Source organism: Homo sapiens, chromosome 7, assembly GCF_000001405.40.
Source record: "Homo sapiens chromosome 7, GRCh38.p14 Primary Assembly".
In the NCBI taxonomy this organism is placed as follows: Eukaryota; Metazoa; Chordata; class Mammalia; order Primates; family Hominidae; genus Homo; species Homo sapiens.
This window is the reverse complement of record NC_000007.14, coordinates 153736025-153760494: the sequence shown is the minus strand read 5'-3', so window position 1 is coordinate 153760494 and position 24470 is coordinate 153736025. Positions and strand designations below refer to the sequence as shown.

Sequence of the window (24470 nt, the reverse complement as noted above, 5' to 3'; positions counted from 1 at the left end):
TATCCAGCATGTACAAGATAAAATTCACAATATCTGGCATCCAATCAAAAATTACCAGGCTTGCAGAGAAGCAAAACAATACAAATCTCATTCAAGGATGGCATTTGATCAATTGAAATTGACCCAGAGCTGCTGCAACTTTTAACATTAGTGGACGTGGACATTAAAACAATTATTACAGCTGAATTCCATATGTGCAAAATGTTCAATGAAGACATGGACAACATTAAAAAGACCCAAATTGAAATCCTAGAGAGGAAATGGATACTGCGCACAACAAAAAATACACTGGGTGGGATTCACAACAAACTAGTTATTGCAGAAGGTAATATTAATGAACTTGAAGACATAAGAATAAAAATAATCCAAAATAAAACCCAGGGAAAAGATAAATTTAAAAATGAGCAAAGCATCATTGAGATATGTTAAAACTTCAAGCAGCCTAATATACATGCACTTGAAACCCCTGACAGAGAACACACTCACTCACATACAGATAGAGAGAGAGAGAGAGAGAGAGAGATACAGAAACAGAGAGAGACAGAGAGAGAGACAGAAACAGAGAGAGAGAGAGAGAGACAGAAACAGAGAGAGAGAGAAGTGGAAGCAGGGAAATATTTGCAGAAATAGTGCCCCCAGATTTCCAAATTTGATGAAAAGGATAAACTCATAGATACTTAAAAAGCACTTGCCTAACTTAAAGGTATTTTATGTTTTCTTCTAGAATTTTTCTAGTTTTAGATTGAACATTTTTATTTATGATCCATTTCGAGTTAATATTTTCATATGGTGTTAGGATATATCAAAGTTCTTTTTTTCACATATGGTTATCCACATTGCAAGCATCTTCAAAAGTCATTGTTGGCTGGGCATGGTGGCTCACAGCTGTAACCCCAGCACTTCGGAGGCCAAGGCAGGCAGTTCACCTGAAGATAGGAGTTTGAGACCAGCCTTGCCAACATGGTGAAACCCCACCTCTACTAAAAATACACACACACACACAAAATTAGCTGGGTGTGGTGGTGCGTGCCTGTAGTCCCAGCTACTAGAGAGGCTGAGGCAGTTTCAGGATCGCTTGAGCCCAGGAGGTGGAAGTTGCAGTGGGCCGAGATTGGGCCACTGCACTCCAGCCTGGGTGACAGAGCGAGACTGGGTCTCAAAAAAAAAAAAAGATTTATTTATAGACTATATACCCCTATAGACTGGAAGAAACTTTGCAAATATATAGCTGATAAAGACATTTATGAAAAACTCTCAACTCAGTAGAAACCAAGTAACCCAATCAAAAATATGTCAGGGATTTTCAGAAACCCTTTAGCCAAGAGGATATGTGGATGGAAATAAGCATCTGTAAAATGCTTAACATCATCAGCCATTGCAAAATACAAATTTAAACTGCACCAATATGCCACTAAACACTTATTTAAATGGCTCATATTGAAGACTGATTATCTTGAGTGTGGGCAAGGATTTGGGGGAACCGGAAGCCTCAGAAGCTGCAGGTAGAAATATAAAATTCTAAAATGACTCTGGAAAATAATTTAACAGTTTCTTAAAAAGTTGAACATATGCCTACTGTATGATCTTGCTGTTCCACTCTTAGGTATTTACCCTACCTAAGTGAAGTGTAAGCATATGTCCATATAAAAACTTGTACATAAATGTTTATAAAAGCTTTTTTGGTAATAGCCCAAAATTTGAAGTAACACAGATGTCCATCAACATGTGAATAGATACACAAACCATGGTATAGGCATACAATCAAGTATTACTTGGCAACAAATAAATAACTATTGATACATGCTGCAACATGAATAAATCTCAACATAATTATACTTAGTGAAAGTTGTCAGACTATAAAAGACCACCTACTTTAATAATTCCATTATCTAAAATGTTAGAAAATGGAAAGTAATATATAGTAACAGAAAAAAAAGATCGGTTTTCCTTACGGATGGAAAAAGGTAGTGGAATTGTTAGGGAGAAACAGATCACAAGGGAGCATGAGGCACCTTCTGGGAATGGCACATATGCTCATTGCCTTGACCGTGGCGTTTTCACGGGTATGCACATGTGCACACGTCAATACTTATTAAACCGTACATTCTAAATATGCACAGTCAACTATACCTCAATGTACTTATTAAACATGGTATCCAGTGTTTGCAATATCTTTTTCAAGAACAAAAGAGGTAATAATCTTCTTTTGTCCTGCTTTTAAGACACCATCTCTTGACTTAGCTGACTTCAATAATTTATAACTTTATGCAATGAGTTTAGTACTTACTCACTAAATATGACAAACACCAATTAAGAGTCCCTGAAAAGACTAGCCTAGCAACTATAAGGCACCCTTTCCCTAAAGGACTTGCTGGAGGTCATAATTTTTACACTGAAGTCTAAAGGACATCTACTGGCCTAGGTTCTCCATTAAGTATGTTTTACTATGGGATAGTTTTTGATATCTATGCCAATGGATGCCTTAATAATAGCAAACACTCTGCCTATGGTTCTTTCTTTCTTCTTTACATTTTTTGAGACAACATCTCATTCTGTCACCCAGGCTGGAGTGCAGTGGCACGATCTTGGCTCACTGCAACCTCTACCTCCTGGGTTCAAGCGATTCTCCTGCCTCAGCCTCCAGAGTAGTTGGGACTACAGGCATGCACCACACCGTGCCTGGCTAATTTTTGTATTTTAGTAGAGATGGGGTTTCGCCATGTTGGCCAAGCTCATCTTGAACTCGTGGACTCAAATGATCCACCTACCTCGGCCTCCCAAAGTGCTAGGATTACATGTGTGAACCACCGTGCCCGGCCCATGGTTCTTTCTAGGCTTGGAATATTGTGAAGTTGGAGCTTGACGTGACCCTGAAGGCTGGTTGAATGTCCTCAGCTTTCACACAGGTGAACAAAGGCCCAGAGAGCGGTGCCCACCCACCTGACACAAAACAGGTGCCCCACTCAACCAATGCTAAGATCGAGTCTACTGATTCCGTTTCCCTCCTTCCACTCTACCTCAGTAAACCATCCGCCACTGGATGAGCTTTTCTGTATGAAGTCACACAGTTAAGAAGTTTCCACGAGGCCCCAGTGAATTGTCAGCTTTTTTGGTTTATGAAAAACAAAATGAAAAATATGAACTTGTTCTGCTGTGCGCACATTTTGTCAGATGTAATTTTAAAATGTCTCATAATGCCTAAATGCCTTATGATCTCTTAATATTGCATTTGAAATTTTCATAAAAAGGAAGATACAGACACTGAAAGAACAGACACATTATGTCTCCATAATAGGAAAATAATACAAACTTTCTAAAGCCCTAAAGATGAGGGAGGGCATGCACAAGAAATTACATAACTTCCTCCATCTCTTTTGACTAAATCCATATTGCTGGGACTGTAATAAAAATATTAGATTTGAGGGTCCTATAAAATTCCAATCACTCTATTTCCTTCATGAGGTACAAGGTGTAAGATAATTGAAATACTGCATTTGAGGTATAACTTTTGACTTAAAAAAAATCCAACAAATAAAACCAGAAAAAACAGTTACTACTCATTTACTGCCCTCTATTCCTGGAAACTTAACTTATGTATGAGCTTAGATTCATTTTATGTATTTTACTGATAAAATGAGGACAATTAAAATTTTAAAAATCAATAAAATGTAAAGCCAAAATAACATAAATAGATTTTCAGTAATATCCTGGAAGTCATAAAAGTAATTTATGTTCTATCCATTATATTAAACTTTCTGAAATACTTGGGGATGATTTAAGTTTTGGGTGATAAAAAGAATTTATTTATTTATATTTACACGGGTACTCTTTCTTATTTCTTCCAGAAATTACCAATTAGACAACTAAGCTTTCTTTTCAGAATGAAGAGCAATGGTGGATAAGAAAAGTTATGAACTAGACATGCCCTTGCTAACAGCAAGTGTTAGTGAAGTGTCCTTCAGGCTGACTCACTAACCTTCATGATGCCCAAGTGTCTATCAGATGTGGCCCTTCACTGCGTGCTCAGATGGAGAAGATGAACCACAAAACAGCCTCGTATAATGGAATGTGCCAAAACCTAGAATCAGGCAGTGGGGGTTTGAGCCCTGGCTCTCTCATTAACTGCGTTTTGTTGGATCTCAGTTTTTTGAAATGAGAGGACTAAATGAAATTACCTCTAAAGTTAGATCCTAATTTTAAATATGTTATATTAGGGATGAAAGATTCTCCAGCATAGGAGGAACTAGACACTATGTGGAAAACGACAGATACCAATGGTCAGGATGAGGGAACCTGGGAATTCAGAAAGAACTACAGGCTCAGGAACAGGGAGGTGTAGGGATCAGAGTAGGTGGGAGGGTCTGATTCAAGTCCAAAATCAAGCTGGAGAATGGTACCTGCAACCATGAGTTATTAAAAAAAAATTCCCTTCTTAGCAGGACTCTGGTTCTGTGATATACTCATGTCCATAGATGGTGGTTCTGAAGCCAAGTGTGTGAGAAAAGAAAAGGGGCAGGAAAAGGACCTGCTGTTATGGCAGCAACTGGTGAAACGCCATAAGCCTTGCATGAGTTTGCCATGTCCCATAGCCTGTGAGTCAGTGGCTGATCTAATCATTTAGAGGGAGGGCTTCCTACAGAAAGAGAAGAGAAAATAAAAAAGAGACTGAGTGAAGGTCAATAACAAAGCTTCACAAAGATATAAAGTCTTGAAGAGGACTCACTTGGAAAGTGGAAAGCACAGAAAGGGAATCAGTGCTAAAATCCAGGAGGGAAATTCTTTAAGCCATGAAGAGGAGGAGGAGGCTGCTCAATTCCTAAGCAGGATAGACTGAGGAAAAGTTCGGAAATAGGATGAAATGCCCCAGAAGGGGGAAGGTCTATGGATCTAAACCAAAAGGGGCAGGAAAGAATAGAAAAGGAGACAGGAGGTATTTTGGCAAAGGGAGAGCATTAAAGTAGGTTTTGCTTCTTATGAGAAGACAAAAAAGGGAGGGCATGAAAACCTTCAGATTTTTCAGATTTGACAAGTGATAGTTTATCAAAATGTGAGTTTTGGAAAATGTAACACTGGGAAAATGAAAGAAGAGTAGAGAAAGAACTGACAGAAAATAAAAAAGAGACTGAGTGAAGGTCAACAAGAAAGCTTCACAAAGATTTAAAGTCTTGAAGAGGACTCACTTGGAAAGTGAAAAGGGATTCCAGAATTAAGAAAACTAGGCAGCCTCCAAATCTCTAGTTGTCCCCTGAGTCATGCAGGTGCTGAATGGGCTACAAGAGGATAAAAGAACAAAACTTGTATTTGAGTTGCCATCCAACTTAAGTGTTCATTAAAATGAAAAACAAATCATCAGAGAAACAAAACAGAATGCAGAGTTTCCACAACAAGCATGATGCCCAAGATAAAATTCAAAATCACTCAACATACAAGGACATTTTAAACTGTGGTCCAATTTCGAGAAGAAAATACAGTCAACACAGACCAATTCTAAGAAGGCTCAGATGTTAGAATTATCATACAAGAGTTTTAAAGTATTATAAGAAGACTCCTCATTTATTAAACAGCAAAGATACTCACGGTGAATTAAAAAAAAAAACAATCCAAGCAGAAAATAGAAATTATGGAGAAAGAACTAAGTGGACATTTTAGAATTTGAAAATGCAATATCCGGAGCTAAGCACACAAACCACAGAATGCAGAACACAGAGGAGAGACTCATTAAATGTGAAGATGGAACCACAGAAATTAAATCTGAAAAAGAGAGAGAAAAGTATCTTGGAAAAATGATGAGCCTCAGAGACCTGTAAAGCAATATAAGCTGTATAAAACATACATAATTGTCATCTCAACAAATTAAGAATAGGACCGAAAAAAAGTTTGACAAGATAATGGCCACCAAATTCCCAAAGATGGTGCATTTAAAGATTCAAGGTGATCTTTGCACCCACTACGGTAATAAATATGAAGAAAATCATGCCTAGGCACATAGTATTGAAATATTGAAAACCAAAGAAAAATCTTAAATGCAGACAAAGAAAAATAATACAGTACATACAGGGAACTATGAATCAAATGACTTCACTTCTCAGTAGAAAAAACTCATTCTAGAACTCAGTGGAATGCCATCTTTAAAGTGCTGAAAAAGAAGTAAAAATTCTGTCAACTCAGAATTTTACATCCAGGAAAATATATCCTTTAAGGATGAAATCAAAGTAAAAATGTAGGTGGGATTCATGAGTAGTATTTCACACACAAAAAAAAATGCATTTCTATTGAATCAAAATGGTTTTAGCTGATTAATCCTTTTTTTTAATGTCCTAAAAGGAAAATGACAGACATACAAGCTTTGCTATCCCTGTCCTTGTGGTAAAATAAACACTAGAAGTAGAAGGTAAGAAGGCTATTAAATTTCCACAAAGTGTAATACCTAGAGCTGGCAAAAGTCAGCAAACTCCTGTGGGTAGAGGCTGACACTCTTCATGGATCATAAGCAACTTCAAAATGCAAACACTTCATCAGCTTTTTCACAGCATGAAAACCTTGAGAAGAAACACCAACATTTTAGTAATTCATTGGTAGAATACGATGTTCCTCACCAGAAAATGGTGCCAAATGATGAATAAGGATTGACTTCTTGCCACATTCTAGGAGCGCAAATGGGTAAACAGGAGATATTACGATTATTAATCACTGCATTCATCAGAGAGGCACCAAGTGAGTCCTTGATCCTGAAGGGATTTCGTTAGTTGAGTTCAGATTGAAATCCACAGAGCCAAAGTTTTGCATCTACTCTTCATTGCAAAGAATCCGTTGAGGTTCATGGACTAATAACTCATCCCTTTTGGCTTTGGAGACAAAGGTGGAATGAGAACGAAAACTAGAATGTTAAATATCCACCTTCACAAATAGGAAGCAGAGACTTTTGATCTCTACCCTCAGACAAAACGATTACTCTTTAAGTATGTTTCTGAATTGAGAGTTTTTTCGGACCTGGTGGAGCTAGATTCCTTGTTGGCAAAAATGGCTAGGAAAGGAATCTTACAAGCTGGAAAAAGTGCTCATGGAATCTGTTATATTGATCCTAATTATCAAATGGTGTAAATGCTATATGCATTTGTAGGCCATAATATGTAATCTGTATATTGTGTAATATATATACAATTGTCATCCCAAGAAAGAATAAAATGTAAAAATATTTTTGAAAATAATGGTACAAAATCCCCAAATATGGTGAAAGAATTAAAGATTCAAGATGCTTAGTGAACTCCTAGCAGGATAAATATAAAAGAACCCATGGCTAGTCACATACAAGTCACCAAACATGGAAAATCAAAGATAAGGAGATACTCTTGAAAGCAGAGAAAAGAGAAAACAGATATGAAATATAAACAATTACAACATCAGATAGAGCGAAGAATTTTAGATAAAATGGGGTCTCAAATTATAATATAAGTAATACAAAGAATTATTACCAGGACCTATATCCATGCTTGATGTGAAGCTTTGTCATGTAATAAATGCTTACTATATGCAAACTGTTACATGGGGATTTTCTTAACAATTATATGAGATAATGCATACATTATATTCCCCTTTTCCAGATGTGTAAAAATAAATTAAATTATGTCCTGCATTTGTTACTTTCTACTTGTGTGATTTTTTTCTGGGGTTGTGGGGGTGAGGGTTAGAGATGCCATCTTACTGTGTTGCCGAGACTGGATTCCAACTTCAATGATCTTCTCACACTAGCCTCCTGAGTAGATAGGACCTCAGGCACATACCACCATGCCATGCCCAGCTCTATTTGTGTGATCTTTACCAAGTTACCATTTGTCTCACTGCAAAGCCCATACTCTAACAATTATCCCATCCTACTCATACCCTCTGGGACCTGCTCCTGAGGAGCTGTGTGCCTATGAGAGGCGACCATGTAAAAAGAGGCTGTTGGCCGGGCATGGTGGCTCACGCCTGTAATCCCAGCAATTTGGGAGGCCCAGGTGGGTGGATTGCTTTAGGCCAGGAGTTTGAGACCAGCCTGACCAACATGGCAAACCCCATCTCTACTAAAAATACAAAAATTACCTGGGTGTGGTGGTGCGCACCTGTAATCCTAGCTACTTAGGAGACTGAGGCAGGAGAATCGCTTGAACCTGGGAGGTGGAGGATGCAGTGAGCCAAGATCATGCCACTGCACTCTAGCCTGGCAACAGAGCGAGACTCGGTCTCAAAAAAAAAAAAAAAGAGGCTGTGGTACAAATATTTATAAAGCACATGCTCCCCCTTAATAAAAAGGGTTTTAAAGTGAAGTTGCCTTGTCCTCCCTGATTTGGGTGCTCAAAGGTAAAGTAATGCCTCATCTTGTGTGGCAGGTCCTGCTGCGAGCCCCACACATGGATTAGTTTATTGAATCCTCATGAAACTCCTACCATGAAGGTCCTATAAAACTTAGGCATGGAGGTTAAGCAACTTATCCAAAATGACACTGGTACCTTAGGATCCCAAAGTCCAAGTTTTGGACAGCTATGTCTGCTGCTTCCAGAGACTGAAGCACTGATAATACTTGTCTTGATGTCTAACGTAATACATACTGATACAAGGAAATTTCCCTTTCAGAAAAGCTCTAAGCAAAGAAACTCAATCCAAACCTTTGCTTTCTCTTCAAACCTGAGGCTGAAAGGAGAGGCCCTACTTTGGCTGGAGTTAACTACTCAACTGGGTGTCCTTACTTTCTGCTCAGAAGGTGAGTGCCATCTTCCAAAGCTAAAGTTGAACAGTCTTATGTTGGTAGTTTACATCTTCTGTAAAACTTAAGTTTGTATTCTTTGCTCAAGAGTGAATACCACTTACAAGTTTCCAGGAGCCAATTCCAGAGGACTATCACTTCAGGAGGTTTCCTCTCAGGACCAGTGGCTCCTGCCTCTACTGGGGCCAACAGTGTGGTGGATTACCCTGTGATCCTCAGCAGCTGTTAGCAGGTGGTCAGGTGCCCCCATGCTCAGGAGAAAGGAGGCTGCAACAAGGACCTCTTCTTTCCAAATTCTAGGGCTTCAATAGGCAAGAATGAACCTAGCAATAAATAACACATCTAAAAGAAGGCTAACACATCTAAAAGGTGAATAACCATCTAAAAGAGACAACCAATGTTGCTCAAGAAATATCTGCACAAGAACAAATGATAAGAATTTGCCAAGTGTAAATTGCTACACCAGTAATCAGTAAATGAATGAGACCAAACAAAAGTGAGTCCAGCTGGAATATTTTCCTAAGAGGCTGATGCCTTTCCTTCCACCAAAGTCGTATATGCTATATATACGATGGAAAAACAACTGTTCCAAAACATCTACTAAACTGACATTGTTGAGTTTTATATTTTATTGGAAAAATACTGTGACCTAAATGTCACATGGTCCATCCAGCACTTCCCAGTGTTGACTGTTGACTCCTGCTACCAGCTCATCCCTCATCCACTACAGAACTTTCACCAACACGTCACCTCCAATCATTTCAGTCTCTCATGTTATCGCACCACAGCAACCTACAAGACAAACTCCAAAGCTGCAAACTTTACAGGCAAACAACAACTTAAGTGTGTTCTTCTTTGAGAAAAGGAACTGAATATTTTTTTTCCTTCTAGCTAATGGATTTCACCATCATCTCACTTTAGGCCATCAAAGATTTTAAAGAAGGAAGGATAGGGTATGACTAGAACTGCATGTTGGACAGTGAAGGCAATGTCTAAGTTCATATTGCGGCTCTCCGTTCTCATATTATTGGAACTTAATAGGGGTTTACCATGTTTATTAAATGGATGATTGATGACTATTGAATTAATATGATTCATTGGAGCAAGTATTTGTTGGACACCTGATAGGTATGTAAGGTGATCCCTAACTCATGATTAACAGGTTTCCTAGTACCTTTTAAATTGTTGGTGTGTGTTCCAACACTTTCCAGAAAGTTTTATTGGTGGCAATACTCTACAGTCCAATTCTTCCAAGAAGCCACTTTAATACTGGAGCCAAAGACATTTCTTAAAGAAAATTCCTGAATGATCTTCTGAACTCCACAGATGTCTCTACTATATTATCACTGATGGGTGAAACTTTATTTTTAATTGAAAAATTTTATATCAACTACTCTGTATTAAAATACATTTCCTGTAGATATTAAGTAATGTAAATGTGAAACATATAACTACTCAAATCATAGTGAGAACAGAGATCAGAGAAATGACTTGCTGATTCAAATATTTCTTCATGATCTGATAGAAGAAAATGCTCGATATTACTTACTCAGTTGAATAAAAGCATTCAACCTTAAATCCTCATCTTACATAACTCAAACAGAACAAGAATTCCTTTATCTGCCAAGTGAATCCAATATCATTACTCACTTCAACTCCGAACAAGTAGATAGTGTTTGGAGTTGATATTGTGGGCTAATACATGCCCCAAACCCCAACAAGTAGATTTTAATGGGAATATTTTTCCAATAAGAGCTAATAAACATATATGCCCTTACATAAAGTGTACACACAAAAATAGGTGTCGAAAATAAGATGACAGAGTAAAGCATAAATTCAGTCTGCATATCAAGGACTAAGCTCCACAGTGCTCGCCTTTTTTCGATTTAAAAAAATATATAAATATTCGAAAATATTTTAAAGTTCATTGTTACATGCATTGCTGTGCGGCTTCCCTATGTAACCCGGGTAAGGAATTTCCTCGCTAATTCATCACAACCTAAGCGGAATGGCAGACAGGTGAGGCGTATTGAGCATGGCCAAGGGTGGCCGGGCCCCACAGGATCCGTGCGAAATCCGGAACCTCGCTGGCGATCTGGGTTTTTTGCGCGTGGGAGTAAACGTTTCCCAAGTCCCTCACACTCTGGGCTGCTAGTGAGGTTCTGCCAGAATTCCTTAGGCCGCCGCCCACTCCCCTTTCTCTGAACGTCACTAATTTCCTGGAAATAATTCCAGGCACGCATCGCTCCATTAAAGTTAATGAAGCACGTGTCCGTGACAGCAGCCAGCGCCAGCGCCCGCGGGAGAGCCCCGCGCGCGCTTCCCGGGAAAGAGCTCCTCTGCAAGCTCTGGCCCAGGGGGGTCTGATTGTGAAAGGGGGAGGGGCTCTGCCTCCCAACGCCGACCTCTTCTCCCGAAAGCCTCGCAATCATGGGAAACAGCTGCACCTGCCAGCCCAGCCGCAAAGCAGGGTAGGATCTCCAGCCCCAGGGTGGCCGGCGGGAGCGGATGCACGGGCAGAGCCCTGCTGCTGGCCGCGGGTCTACAAAACAGCACACGTTCTCTCAACCCCCGCGATCCGCCAACCATCCTCAGTCACCGACCCCTGCAAGGCATGCAGACGCACCAGCGGCTGCTCACACTCCCTCCACAAACCTGCCGGAGTCTCCACTCTCCGGCCAACTGTAGCCTCCATCTGCGCCCCACGCCCCCGCACAAGCCCCCTCCGTCGCTGGTCCCTTACCTTGTGGCCTTTCCCCGGGGGACACCTGACGCTATTGGAGACTCCTGCGGTTTGATTCATGTCCAGAGGAAGTTGAGGGGCCCAGATTCTCTACCTTCAAAACTTCCTAGGCGCGTGGAGGGTGGCGACAGAGGTGCGCGCCTCGGGGGAGACGCGAGGTGGGTCCTCCTTCTGCAGCCGAGTCTGGGCGAGCGCGAGGGGAGCCTCCACGCTGCAGGCTTCTGTGCAGGGGCGGTAAAATCCGCAGCCCAGAGCTGGAGAAGGAGAAGCAGCTGCTGGGACCCCGGAGGGAAGCCGGGCCGGCGCCAGCGGCTCCGAGGGCGCTCTGCCCAGTGCTGCCTCCCCGGGAAACAGTTCAGGACGCTCAAGACCAGAAGCGGGAGCAAACCCAAAAGGAGCTCCAAGGAGGTGTGTGTGGGGAGAGCCAGGGGGACGCAGGACTAGGCTCTTTCCTGCGCAAGGGGTGGGGAAACCCGCGAAAGCCAGGGAGTCGCGCGCACTCACGCCCTCGCGCCACCAGGCAGAGCCACCGCTGCAAGGAGCCCACGGGTGCGCGCTCGCTCCAGGGCGGATCTTTCCACACCCCCCTCACCCTCAAAAGCTCAGGCTGGAGCGGTCATCAGTGCGGACTCCGGCACCCCACCCACCCAGCAGGGGTTAAGGAGGGACTGGCGCCCACTCTTGCCTACAGCTCCTGCGCAGGGCTCCAGCCGCCAAATCTTCCCGGGATGGTCGGGAGGTGGCATAAGAGGTTTTGCCAGGAACCACTGCACAGGCGAAAGAGAGACAGTGGAGTGGGCGGAGGAGGAGCTGGGACGGCACCCGGGCTCGTTAGCACAGGCTGCACGAGCTACAGCTGAGGGATGCGAGCGCTCTGTCAATTGGGCAGGCGCTGCGCGCGGAGGCCCGGTCGGTGCCATTGGTTGGCGGCCCAATTGGCTTGACCAGGGCGGTATTTGGGGAAGGGCAACAGAGTACATCCATTCCTTTCTGCAATAGAAGTCTCTGCAGCTTCCCAAGAGTTTTTCTTTCTTTCTTTCTTTTTCTTTTGGCACCTGTGAAGTCATGATCTAATTAGTCGGCATTTAGACACAGGTGAAAAGAAATTGACCCCAGGGAACCAGGAAAAATCAGTCAAAAAAGAGCAGCTGCTTCATGAAGACTGCATTGCAACATTCTAGGATCACAAGTCTGAACAGGGGACCAAGGGCACGTTAGAATACAGCCATATTATTTGACAAAATGTTAAATTTTATCCAGGCAGATATAGTTGAGTTTGAATATTCTGAATGGGAATCAAACCACATAATTTGGTTTCTATTTCACCATCCCAAAATCTTGGTTTTAGCCTGTATAAATTGAAGGAAGAAGTTAGACTAATTTATGAGGACCAGAGCTGAACTTTCTTCCTCAAGTGCGTTGGCTTGGTAACAGAAGTACATCCCCTTGGCCGGGCACGGTGGCTCATGCCTGTAATCCCAGCACTTTGGGAAGCCGAGGAGGGCAGATCATGAGGTCAGGAGATCGAGACCATCCTGGCTAACACAGTGAAACCCCGTCTCTACTAAAAATACAAAAACAAAATTAGCCAGGCGTGGTGGCGGGTGCCGGTAGTCCTAGCTACTCGGGAGGCTGAGGCGAGAGAATGGCGTGAACCCGGGAGGCGGAGCTTGCAGTGAGCCGAGATGGCACCACTGCACTCCAGCCTGGGCGACAGAGAGAGACTCCGTCTCCAAAAAAAAAAAAAAAAAAAAAAGTACATCCCCTTACATTGTCCATTTAAAAGTAAAAGGGAGATTTATTTTAGTTCTTCCGTTATTTGCTGATATTCATGGTCATTTCTTTAATGTTCCCAATTCCAAGTTGGAATAATCACCATTTTGTAAAACAAATTATTGTGTTTGGTTGCTTTTGGCTGCTGAAGACATTCAAAAGTCACTCCTGAGATGAATATGAAGGCTCAGCTTGGAGATCAGCGTAATGCAGAGCTTGGCTGTAGATGCAGATGCTGGTTGGAATCTTGGCTTTGCCACCTCCTAGTGCACATCCTTGGGCAAATTATTTCTCTCATTTATTCTTACATTTGTAAGGTCGGTGTTATAGCTGCACCTTTCCACGTGAGGAAACTGAGGCTCAGAAATACTAATGTGCAGCAGGTGCTTCGCATAGTAGTAGGTGTTCATCAGCTGTTACTACCAACTACCTGCAACAATTGCTAGCACTTCACATTAATTTACAGACACTATTGCTCAATTCCAATTTTCTGGCTAACAACTACTCATGCATTTATCTGTGATTACTTGTGTATTTTCCTTCTCCCACTTTGACTGTGAGCTCCATTATAGTAGAAGAGAGGGCCCTTGAGATGGATTGAAGGGAGCAGGCTGAGCAGTGGCCCTGAGAGGAGCTCATCATGATCTCGAGCTTGATGACTCACCCTCGCGTTAGGAAAGACATTTCATTAATCAAGCTTGAACACTTTGCACAGAAAAAGATAAGAAACATGCTATTGATGTCTAATTGATTTTATGTCACTTATGTGACAATATGTTTGACTTTGATGTAATCAGTTATGATTTAGTAAAATAACAGCAATTTTTTCTTCCATGGCACGAATAGTTTTCTTCCTGAAATTTCCTGCATTGTGAATTTGGGGTTTCACTATGTTTTCCTTTGCTTTCTTTTATGCCATCTCCTTTTTTAAAAAAAATTGTGGTATAATGTATAGTAAAATGAACAGATCAGTTTTGACAGTTATGTATATTTGTATAATCCATACCCCTGTTAAGACAGGTAACATTGCCATCACCCCCCAAAGGATGTTTCTTCACAATAAACTACCCCCATAATCAACAACTGTTTGGATTTTTTCACCATAGACTAGCTTTGCTTATTCTAGAATTTCAAATAAATGAAGTCATGCATTATGAACTCCCTCACTGAATGCAATGTTTATGAGGTCCATCATGTTTTTGCATGTCTCAGCAGTTCATTTTTTATTGTTAAATAATATTCTATTGTATGGATGTACCATTATTAATTTATCCATTCTCTTACAAATGATTACATGTGTTAATTCTAGTTTTTGACTATTTATGGATCAAGCTGCTTTAAATGTTCATGTACAGGGTTTTTCTTTGTGAACTCACACTTTCATTTATCATGTATTGATATGTGGAAGTGGAATTATTAGATCCTAAGGTAGATGCAGGGTTGTTTTTTTGTTTGTTTGTTTGTTTGTTTTTAGAAACTGCCAAATCATTTCCCAAGACGTTAGTACAATTTTTAAACTCCTTAGGTATCTATTATTGCATAGCAAATAGAGATGCTACTTGACTTACAATGGAGTTACAACATGATAAACCCATCATAAGTCCAGATGTTCCTGAACTAACGAGTTACAGCATGATAAATCCATTATAAAGTCAAAAAATTGTAAATCAAAGTACAATAAGTTGGGGACCATCCATAATTTGAAAACATGAAGGTTTTAAACAAAGCACATCTATTGTCTCAGTTTCTGAGGATCTTGAATCCAGGCATGGCTTAGCTCTGTCCTCTGCTTCAGGGTATCTCACTAGATAGCAATGAATTTTTCATCTGGGGCTGTAGTCTCATCAGAAGGCTCTACTAGGGAAGGATCTGCTTCTAAGTTAACTCGTGTGGCTCTTGGCAGAATTCAGTTCCTCAAAGGCCTCTAGAGCGAGGGCTGCCGTTCTTTCTTGCCACTGGTCAGAGGATACTTTCATTTTCTTGCCATGTGAGTGTCACCAGCCAGTGTCATCAGGGCAAGTACTCAAGAAGAGCCAGAGAGTACAAGCAAGATGGAAATCACAATCATGTATAACCTGATCTTGGAAGTGACAGTTCACCACTTATGCTTTATTCAATTGATTAGATGCAAGTCACTAGGTTCATCCCACACTCAAGTGGAGGAGATTTTGCAAGAATGTGAATGCCAGGTGGATGGGATTGTTGGAAGCCTTGTCAGGAGCAGCCTTCCACAATCAGCCCTCTGGCCTCCAATGATTTGTGTTTCTCCCCATGTGAAATACACTCACTTTCTTTCAAGATCGCCAAAAGTCATTCCATTACAGCATCAGCTCAAAGTCTAGAATTCTATCATCAGAAACAGTTTCATGTGTGAAGGAGGCTCCTCGGGTGTACTTCCTGTGTATAGCTTTCCTCCATGTTTAGATATGTAAAAGTTAAGAGATAAGATAGTTTCTCACATGTATTCAACATACAATGGTGGGATGGACATTAGATAACAGGTGTAGGCACACCTGTTCCATAAAGAGAGAACTGGAGGCACAAAGGATTTGCTGCTCTAAAGCAATTCTGAAATCCAGCCAGGCAAAGGTTGGGATTTCCTGGCCTGAGGGAGTATTTGTCAAGTTTCTCCACAGTAAAATTACTATTATCCTTTCTCATTTGCATACTGTACTCTTTGTAAGGAGGCGTCTACATGCAGCCTACACTGAAGGAGTGAGGAGTGGTGTTCCACCTCCTTGAGGGCAGAGCGTTTGCATACATTTTTAACATTCTGCTCTACGGGAGATCTGTCTCTTCTCACCCATTCATTTATTTATTATTTAACTATAAAGCATGGGTTTATGAATATTTGTATGATATTTTGGGTTATAATTCAATACTACTCTTATTTATTTTTGCTCACATTATGCCAGCTTTGGCCACTGGGTGATCTTCAGTGGCTCTGTGCACCTTTGGCCACACCCCCATTAGTGTGTGTGTGTGTGTGTGTGTGTGTGTGTGTGTGTGTGTGCGCCTGCACGAGCATGCGATTGGAATATTTCCTTTATGGCACTACAAGGTGCCTCAGGCTCATCTTGTACATTTCCTGTCACTAGAATCAGCCACTTCTCCAAGGAGCCCTGGTTATTTTTATTAGACAATGGTATTAGAAACGAATGTCTGGGCATTACTAGTGCTCATTGCTACTGTGATACTGTTTCTGAGTCCTCTAGCTGACAGAGAATGGTAATGTATTTGTATATACTAATCCAGGTCATACACAAATATCTATAAATATTTCTATATTTAACAGTGTATGTCTATATTCAGCCAAATATTAATTCATACTAATGTCTACAACTCTAATCCGTTGCCACACGAATCATTCCAGCCCTTTTCCCTTACTTATCTGTAAATGCCCACTCCAACAGTGGTAAATCTGGCTCCTGCCTTCCACCAACCATCCAATTCGTTGTTCAGTTCTACTCTATAGGTACAGTGGTATCAGAACGTTTAACCTGTAGCCAGTGGGAAACAGTGTTATTAACTAGAATGCAGTGGCAGTGCTGTGTACAGTTTCTTTTCACTGTGTCTTACAGACTCATTTCCAAAGTTGCTTATGTCAGCACCTTTTTCCCTCCCTCTTCAGTGAGGTTGTGTAATGCATTTTTAATAAAGTTGGTTTTGTCACATTCTGCATTCCATTCTAGGATTCCCTGGCCTCCTAAATACTATTTTAAATTTACATACATTAAGATTTACTTTTTATCCTCAGTGTAATGCATCCACATTGTGTCATACAAAATAGTTTCACCACCCTAAAAGTTCTGAGCTTCACCTATTCACTCCCCAACCCCTGAAAATGGTGATTTTTATGATCACTGTTTTTGCCATTTTCAGAATGTCATATAATGGAAATCATACAGTATGCAGTCTTTTCAGATGGGCTTCCTTCAATTAACAACATGCATTTAAGATTCATCCATCTATTTTCTGGCTTAATAGCTCATTTCCTTTTATTACTAAACAATATTTCATTCTATGGCTACACCACACTTTCCTTATCCATTCACATATTGTAGAACATCTTGGTTACTTCTAGTTTTTATTGATTGTGAATCAGCCTTCTGTAAACTTTTGCATGCAGATTTTTTGTGTGGATGTAAGGTTTCAACTCCTTTGGGTAGATATCTAGGAAAGTGATTGCTGGATCATATGGTGAAAGTATGTTTAGCTTTTTAAGAAACCATGAAACTGCCTTCCAAAGTTGACCATGTCATTTTGCCTTCCCATAAACAATGAGTGAGAGCTCCTATTGCTCTGCTTCCTCCCCAGTCGTTGGTATCTCCAGCTTGTTTTTGCGTTTTCGCCTTTCTAATTAGTGTGTAATAGTACCTCATTGCTGTTTTGTTGTTGTTGTTTGTTTGTTTGTTTTGAGATGGAGTTTTGCTCTTGTCAACTAGACTGGAGTGCAGTGGTACAATCTCAGCTCACTGCAACCTCTGCCTCTTGGGTTCAAGCGATTCTCCTGCCTTAGCCTCCTGAGTAGCTGGGGCTACAGGCATGCACCACCATGTCCGGCTAATTGTTTGTATTTTTAGTAGAGACAGGATTTCACCATGTTGGCCAGGCTGGTCTCGAACTCCTGACCTCAAGTGATCCATCTGCCTTGGCCTCCCAAAATGCTGGGATTACAGGCGTGAACCACCAGGCCCCGCCTCATTGCCGTTTTAATTTGAAAATCCCTAGTCACCAATGATGTTCAGCAAATCTTCTTATGTTTATTTACCATCTGTGTATCTGCTTTGGTGAGGTGTCTGTTCAGATATTTTGTCGATTTTATATTGGAGTTGTTTTCTTATTGTTGAGTTTTAAGAGCTGTTTATTAAATATATATTTGGGGTACAAGTAATTAAGCAAATTTGTATTTTGCAAATATTTTCTGGTCTGTGGCTTATCTTTCGATTCTTCCCCTTGCTTTTATTTAAATTAGCCAATTGTGTATATTTATGGGTTAAAATGTGATGTTTTGACCTACATATATATACATTGTAGAAAGATTTAATCAAGCTAATTAACACATTCATCATCTCACCAACTTAACATTGTGTGTGTGTGTTGAGAATGTTAAAAATCTATTCTTTTAGTGATTTTGAAATATGCAACATGTTATTATCAGGTGTGGCCATCATGCAGTGCAATAGATCACTTAAATTTATTTCTCCAGTCTAAGGGAGACTTGGTACCCTTTGATCCATATCTTCTCCTTTCCCATTTCTCTCCTTCGTTTTTAGCCCCAGTAACTACCTTTTTTCGTTCTGTTTCTATGAGATCAATTTCTTTTAGATTCCACATATAAATGAGATTATACAATATTTGTTTTTTGGTACCTGGCTTATTTCACTTAGCATAATGTCCTCCAGCTCCATCCATGATTCTTTTAAAAGTATCTTTCACAGAGTAGATGTTTTTAATTTTAAAATATTGTACAACGTATGAATTTTTTCTTTCATGGATCATGATTTTGCTGTTCTATCAAAAACTTTATCACAAAACCCTAGATTTTCTCTTATGTTTACTTCTAGAAGTTTTATCATTTTGTATTTTATAATTAGGGCCCTGATAAGTTTTCAGTTAATTTTCGTGAAAGGTATAAGGTTTGTGTCTGGGGTTTTTTTTTTTTTTGGTACATGTGTGTCCAATTATTCCAGCCCCATTTTTGAAAAGACTTTTTTTTTTCATTGACTTGCCTTTGTTCCTTTGTTAAAGATCAGCAGACTCTGCATAGATTAATTTCTGGGCTCTCAATTCTGTTTCATTGACCTATCTACCTATTCTTTTAAATACATGCTGTCTTGATTATTATAGCTTTATAGTGAGTCTTGAAATTTGGTAATAAAAGGGCTCAACTTTGTTCTTCTTCAGTAGTGTATTGACTATTCTAGGCCAATTCTAGGAAGGTCTTTGTCCTTCCCTTATATTTTAGCTTCTGTTTGTTGATATCTACAAAAGGACTTGCAGAGATTTGGATTGTAATTCCAGTAAATCTGTAGACAAAGTCTGGGATAATTGACATCTTAATATTATTGAGTGTTCCCATTCATGAACATGGACTATCATTCTCGATATTGAGCTTTACTTTGATTTCTTTCACCTGAGTTTTATAGTTTTCTGCACATAGTTCCTGTTCACATTTTTCCATATGTATGCCTAGTTATTTTATTTTTGGTGATACCGCAAGTGGTGTTATGTTATTAATTTCACATCCTAATGTCTTATTTCTGGTATATAGAAAAACAATAGACATTTCTATATTGTGGTAGGGTTAATTATAGCCCCTCAAAAGAAACTCACATACTAATCCTTGGAATCCGTTGCTATGTTATCTTTTATGACAAAAGGGACTTTCCCGATATAATTACATTAAGAATCTTGAGATAGGGAGATTATTTGGGGTTATCTGGGTGTACCCAATGTAATTACAAGGGTCTACATAAGAGGAAGGCAAGAGAGCAAAATCAGAGCTGCTGATGTCATAAAGCTATGCTGATCATTTGATGATGAAGAGAGGGGCCATGAACCAAGGAATACAGGTGGCCTCTAGAAGTTGGCAAAAGCAGTGGAAAGGAACCTTGCTGACCCTGGCTTTGGTTCAGGCAGACTGTATTTGGGCTTCTGACTTCTGTAACTGTAACAATGAATTCATTCTGTTTTAAAACACTAGTCCTATGGTAGTTTACTACAGCAACAATAAAAAAATTTAAAAATACATAGTAACATACAAATTATGCAAACATATAATAATACAAAATTTATGTATAATACTATATATAGTAACAATACAAATACAAATATTTGTATATATATAGAGAGAGAGACAGTGTGTATCCTGTAACTTTGCTATACTACTATATGTATAGTAATGGTGCAAATTATACATATAGTAACAATACAAATTATGTATTCATATAATACTATATACACATGATTGTGTATCCTGTAAATTTGTTATACTACAAATTATTTTCAGAATGCCCATTTTGTTGACTTTTTCAAAGTAGAATCTTTGGAACTTTCTTGATAGACAGTCATGTTATCTGCTTAAAAAAAGACAGTTTTTATTCTTCCTTCCAATCTGTTATATATTTGTTCATTTTCCTGTTTTATTGCACAAGCTAGAAATTCCTGTATGATGTTGAATAGGAGTGGTGAGAAGAAGCAACTTGTCTTGCTCTTTGTCTTAAAGGGAAAGCATCCAGTGTCTGGCCATTAGCTGTCATGTTAGCTGTAGGTTTTTGTAGATGTTCTTTACCAATTTGTGGAAGTCCCCCTCTATTCCTAATTTTCTGAAAGTTTTTATCATTAATGGGTGCTGGTTTTTATCAAATGCTTTCTCCACATCTATTGGTATGATGATATATTTTGTTTTCTCTAACTTGTTGATGTAGCGTATTAGAGTGAATCTTTTTTTATTTTTGAGATTGAGTTTCACTCTGTCACCCAGGCTGGAGTGCAGTGGTGAGATCTCAGCTCACTGCAACCTCCGCCTCCCACGTTCAAACAATTCTCCTGACTCAGCCTCCTGAGTAGCTGGTACTACAGGCGCGCACCACCACACACAGCTAATTTTTTTTTTTTTTTTGTATTTTTAGTAGAGACAGGGTTTCACCATGTTGGCCAGGCTGGTCTCAAACTCCAACCTCAGGTAATCTACCTGCCTCAGCCTCCCAAAGTGCTGGGATAACAGGCGTGAGCCACTATGCCCAGCCTTAGAGTAATTAATTTTTAAATGTTAAACCAGTCATACATTCCTAGAATAAATTCCACTTGCTGCTCTTTCTGTTTTTATTATCTGGAAGATATTATAGAGGATTTGGTTGAGTCTTTTTAAAATACTTGGCAGAATTTTCTAATGAGGCCGGGCATGGTGGCTGACGCCTATAATCCCAGCACTTTGGGAGGCTGAGGCGGGTGGATCACTTGAGGTCAGGAGTTCGAGACCAGCCTGACCAACATGGCAAAACCCGGTCTCTACTAAAAATACAAAAATAAGCCAGGAGTGATGATGGGTGCCTATAATCTCAGCTACTCGGGAGGCTGAGGCAGGAGAATCACTTGAACCTGGGAGGCGGAGCTTGCAGTGAGCTGTGATTGTACCATTGCACTCCAGTCTGGGTCACAGGACAAGACTCCATCTCAAAAAAAAGAAAAAAAAAAGAAACAAAAACAAAATTTCTAATGAAACCATTTGGGCCTGCTGTTTTCTTTTTGGAAGGTTATTAGTTATGTTCAGTGTCTTTAATACAAATACACCTGTCAAGATAATCCATTTCTTCTTGTACAAGTTGGTCTATTTCATGGAATTGGTGCATTTCATCTAAGCCAGAGGTCCTCAACCCTTGAGCAATGGACAGGTACCAATCCATGGCCTGTTAGTAAAAGGGCCACACAGCAGGAGGTGAGTAGTGGGTGAGTGAGCATTACCGCCTGAGCTCCCCCTCCCATCAAATTCTCATAGGAGCGCAAGCCCTATTGTGAACTGCCTGCATGCAAGGGATCTAGGTTGCATGCTCCTTATAAGAACCTAACCAATGCATGATGATCTGAGGTGGAACAGTTTCATCCCAAAACCTTCCCACCGCACCACCTTCCTGTGCAGGGAAAAATTATCTTCCACAAAACCAGTCCCTAGTGTCAAAAATGCTGGGGACCAGTGATCTCAGCCATCAAATTTGTGGGCATGCAGAGTTGTTTCTAGTATTTTTGCATATTTCTTTTTATGTCCATAGCATCAGTAGCTATGACCCTGTTTTCATTTCTGATATTGTCAATTTGTAGTACATTTATTTTTTTCTTGGTTACCTTAACTAGAGATTTATCAATTAATTTTATTGATTTTTTAAAGAACAGCATTTCATTTCTTTGATTTTCTCAATTGTTTTCCTGTTTTAGATGTTATCAATTTCTGCTCTAATTTTTTTATGCTTTTCTTCTATAACTTCAAATAATCAACTTTGGATCTTTCTTCTTCTCTTATATATTCAGTAATACTATTAATTTCTGTCTAAGCACTGCTTTCATTGCATCCTACAAATTTTGATAAATTGCATTTTCATTTTTCTTTAATTCAAAATATTTATATTTCTCTTGAGCCTACTTATTTAGATCATGCGATATTTAGAATTGTGTTATTTAATCTCTGCTATAGGTTAAATGATTGTTGCCTCAAAATCTCACATTCAAATTTGATCCCAGTGTTGGAGATGGGGCTTCATGGGAGGCATTTGGGTCTTGGAGGTGGATCTCTCCTGAATAGAGTAATGCCCTCCCTTGGTGAGTGGATGAGCACGTTCTCACTCCATTTGTTCCCACAAAAGCTGGATGTTAAATAGAGCCTGACCCCTCCCTCTTCTCTCTCTTGCCTTCTCTCTCACCATGTGATCACTGAACATGCTGGCTGCCCTTCACCTTCTGCCATGAGTGGAAGCTTCCTGAAGGGCTCCAGGAAAATGGTGGCACGATGCATCTCGTATAGCCTATAGAACTGTGAGCCAAATAAACCTCTTTTCTTCATAAATTATCCAGCTTCATGTATTCTTTTATAGCTACACTAAACCAGTTAAGACAATCTCCAAATATTTGGGATTGTCTAGCTACTTTTCTGTTCCCGATTTCTAGTTTAATTCCACTGTGACCTGATAATATATTTCCTATAATTTTTATTGTTCTACATTTGTTCCTATGTGTTTTATGGCCCAGAATGTGACCTATCTTGCTGTATGTTCTATAGAAGCTTGGGAAGAACATATGTTATGCTGTTTGTAGGTAGTATTTTATTATATAAATGTCAATTATATCATATTGATTGATAGTGTTCCTCAAGTCAACTGTATTCACTGATTTTCTACCTGCTGAGCTATGAATTACTGAAAAAGAAGTTTGAAGTCTCCAACTGCAATGGTGAATTTGTATATTTCTCCCTTTAGTTCCATCAGCTTTTGCATCATTTTTAGGTGTTTTTGCTCTGTTGTTAGGTGAATAAATGTTTAAGATTGTTGTCTTTTTTGAGAATTGATCCCTTTATCGTTATGTAATGCACCTCTTTTCCCTTGTAATTTTTCTTGCTCTGCTATCTTCTTTGTTCACAGCTAATAAAGTTCTATGCAATTTTAAAAATTAGTGTTAACAAGATTTATATTTCTTAAAACCTTTACTTTTGACCTATGTCTGTATATTTCTAATGAGTTTCCTGTAGATTAAATATAGTTGGATTTTTTTACCACTATGAACACCTTTGTCTTCAAATTGGCTTCTTTACACCATTTAGATTTAAAATGACTATTGATATTATTAGGTTAATATCCACCATATTTAAACTGTTTTCTATTTGCTATAATTGTTCTTTATTTTTTACTTTTCCTACTTTTCTGCCTTTTCTGATTTTAATAGGACATTTTGCACAATTTTATCTTCTTTTTTAGCATATTAATTATACATATTTTAAAAATATTTTAAGGCCAGGCACAGTGACTCATGCCTATAATCCCAGCACTTTGGGAGGCTGAGGCAGGCGGATCACCTGAGGTCAGGAGTTCAAGGCCAGCCTAGCCAACATGGTGAAACCCCATCTCTATAAAAATACAAAAATTAGCCAGGCATGATGGCAGGTGCCTGTAATCCCAGCTACATGGGAGGCTGAGGCAGGAGAATCACTTGAACCCAGGAGGAGGAGCTTGCAGTGAGCCATGATCACATCACTGCACTCCAGCCTGGGTGACAGAGTGAGACTACAACTCAAAAAAAATATAAAAATAAAAATATTTTAATGGTAGCCTGAGTTTCCAACATACATTTTAAGTAATCTAACTCCACCTTTAAATGACACTATGCCACCATCATTGCTGTCATTCACTTCACTCATCATATGATACCATCATCGTATTATTACTTTAAATAGTTATTTTTAGATCAATTAAGAATAAGAAAAGAAAAAAAAGATTTTCTTTTACCTTTATTTATTCCTTCTTTGGCACTCTTCCTTTGTTACGCAGATTTGAGTTTCTGACCTTTATCACCTTCCTTTTCCGTGAGGAACTTCTTTTAATATTTTCTTACAGGGAAGGTCTGATGGTGATTATTTCCCTCAGCATTTGTCTGAGGAAGTCTTTATTTCTCAAGTTTGTATTTTTTTCTTTATTTTAGCATTTAAATACTTCACTCCAGTCTTCT

General features: G+C 39.5%; 1 protein-coding gene across 5 annotated transcripts in view; it reads right to left on the bottom strand.

The window, feature by feature from the left end:
- DPP6 (dipeptidyl peptidase like 6) overlaps nt 1-12362 on the bottom strand; it is a 1146153-nt gene extending 1133791 nt beyond the window's left edge. The window contains exons 1-2 of one of the 5 annotated variants that reach the window (NM_001364500.2): nt 12079-12362; nt 11487-11740 (exon numbers count right to left, since the gene is read on the bottom strand). In NM_001364500.2, the coding sequence (NP_001351429.1) occupies nt 11487-11546 (60 nt within the window). In that variant the 5' untranslated portion in view covers nt 11547-11740; nt 12079-12362. Of the gene's footprint in view, nt 1-11486 lie in introns of all 5 variants that reach the window. The other 4 variants (NM_001364499.2, NM_001364497.2, NM_001364498.2 and 1 more) reach the window with 4 other exon arrangements.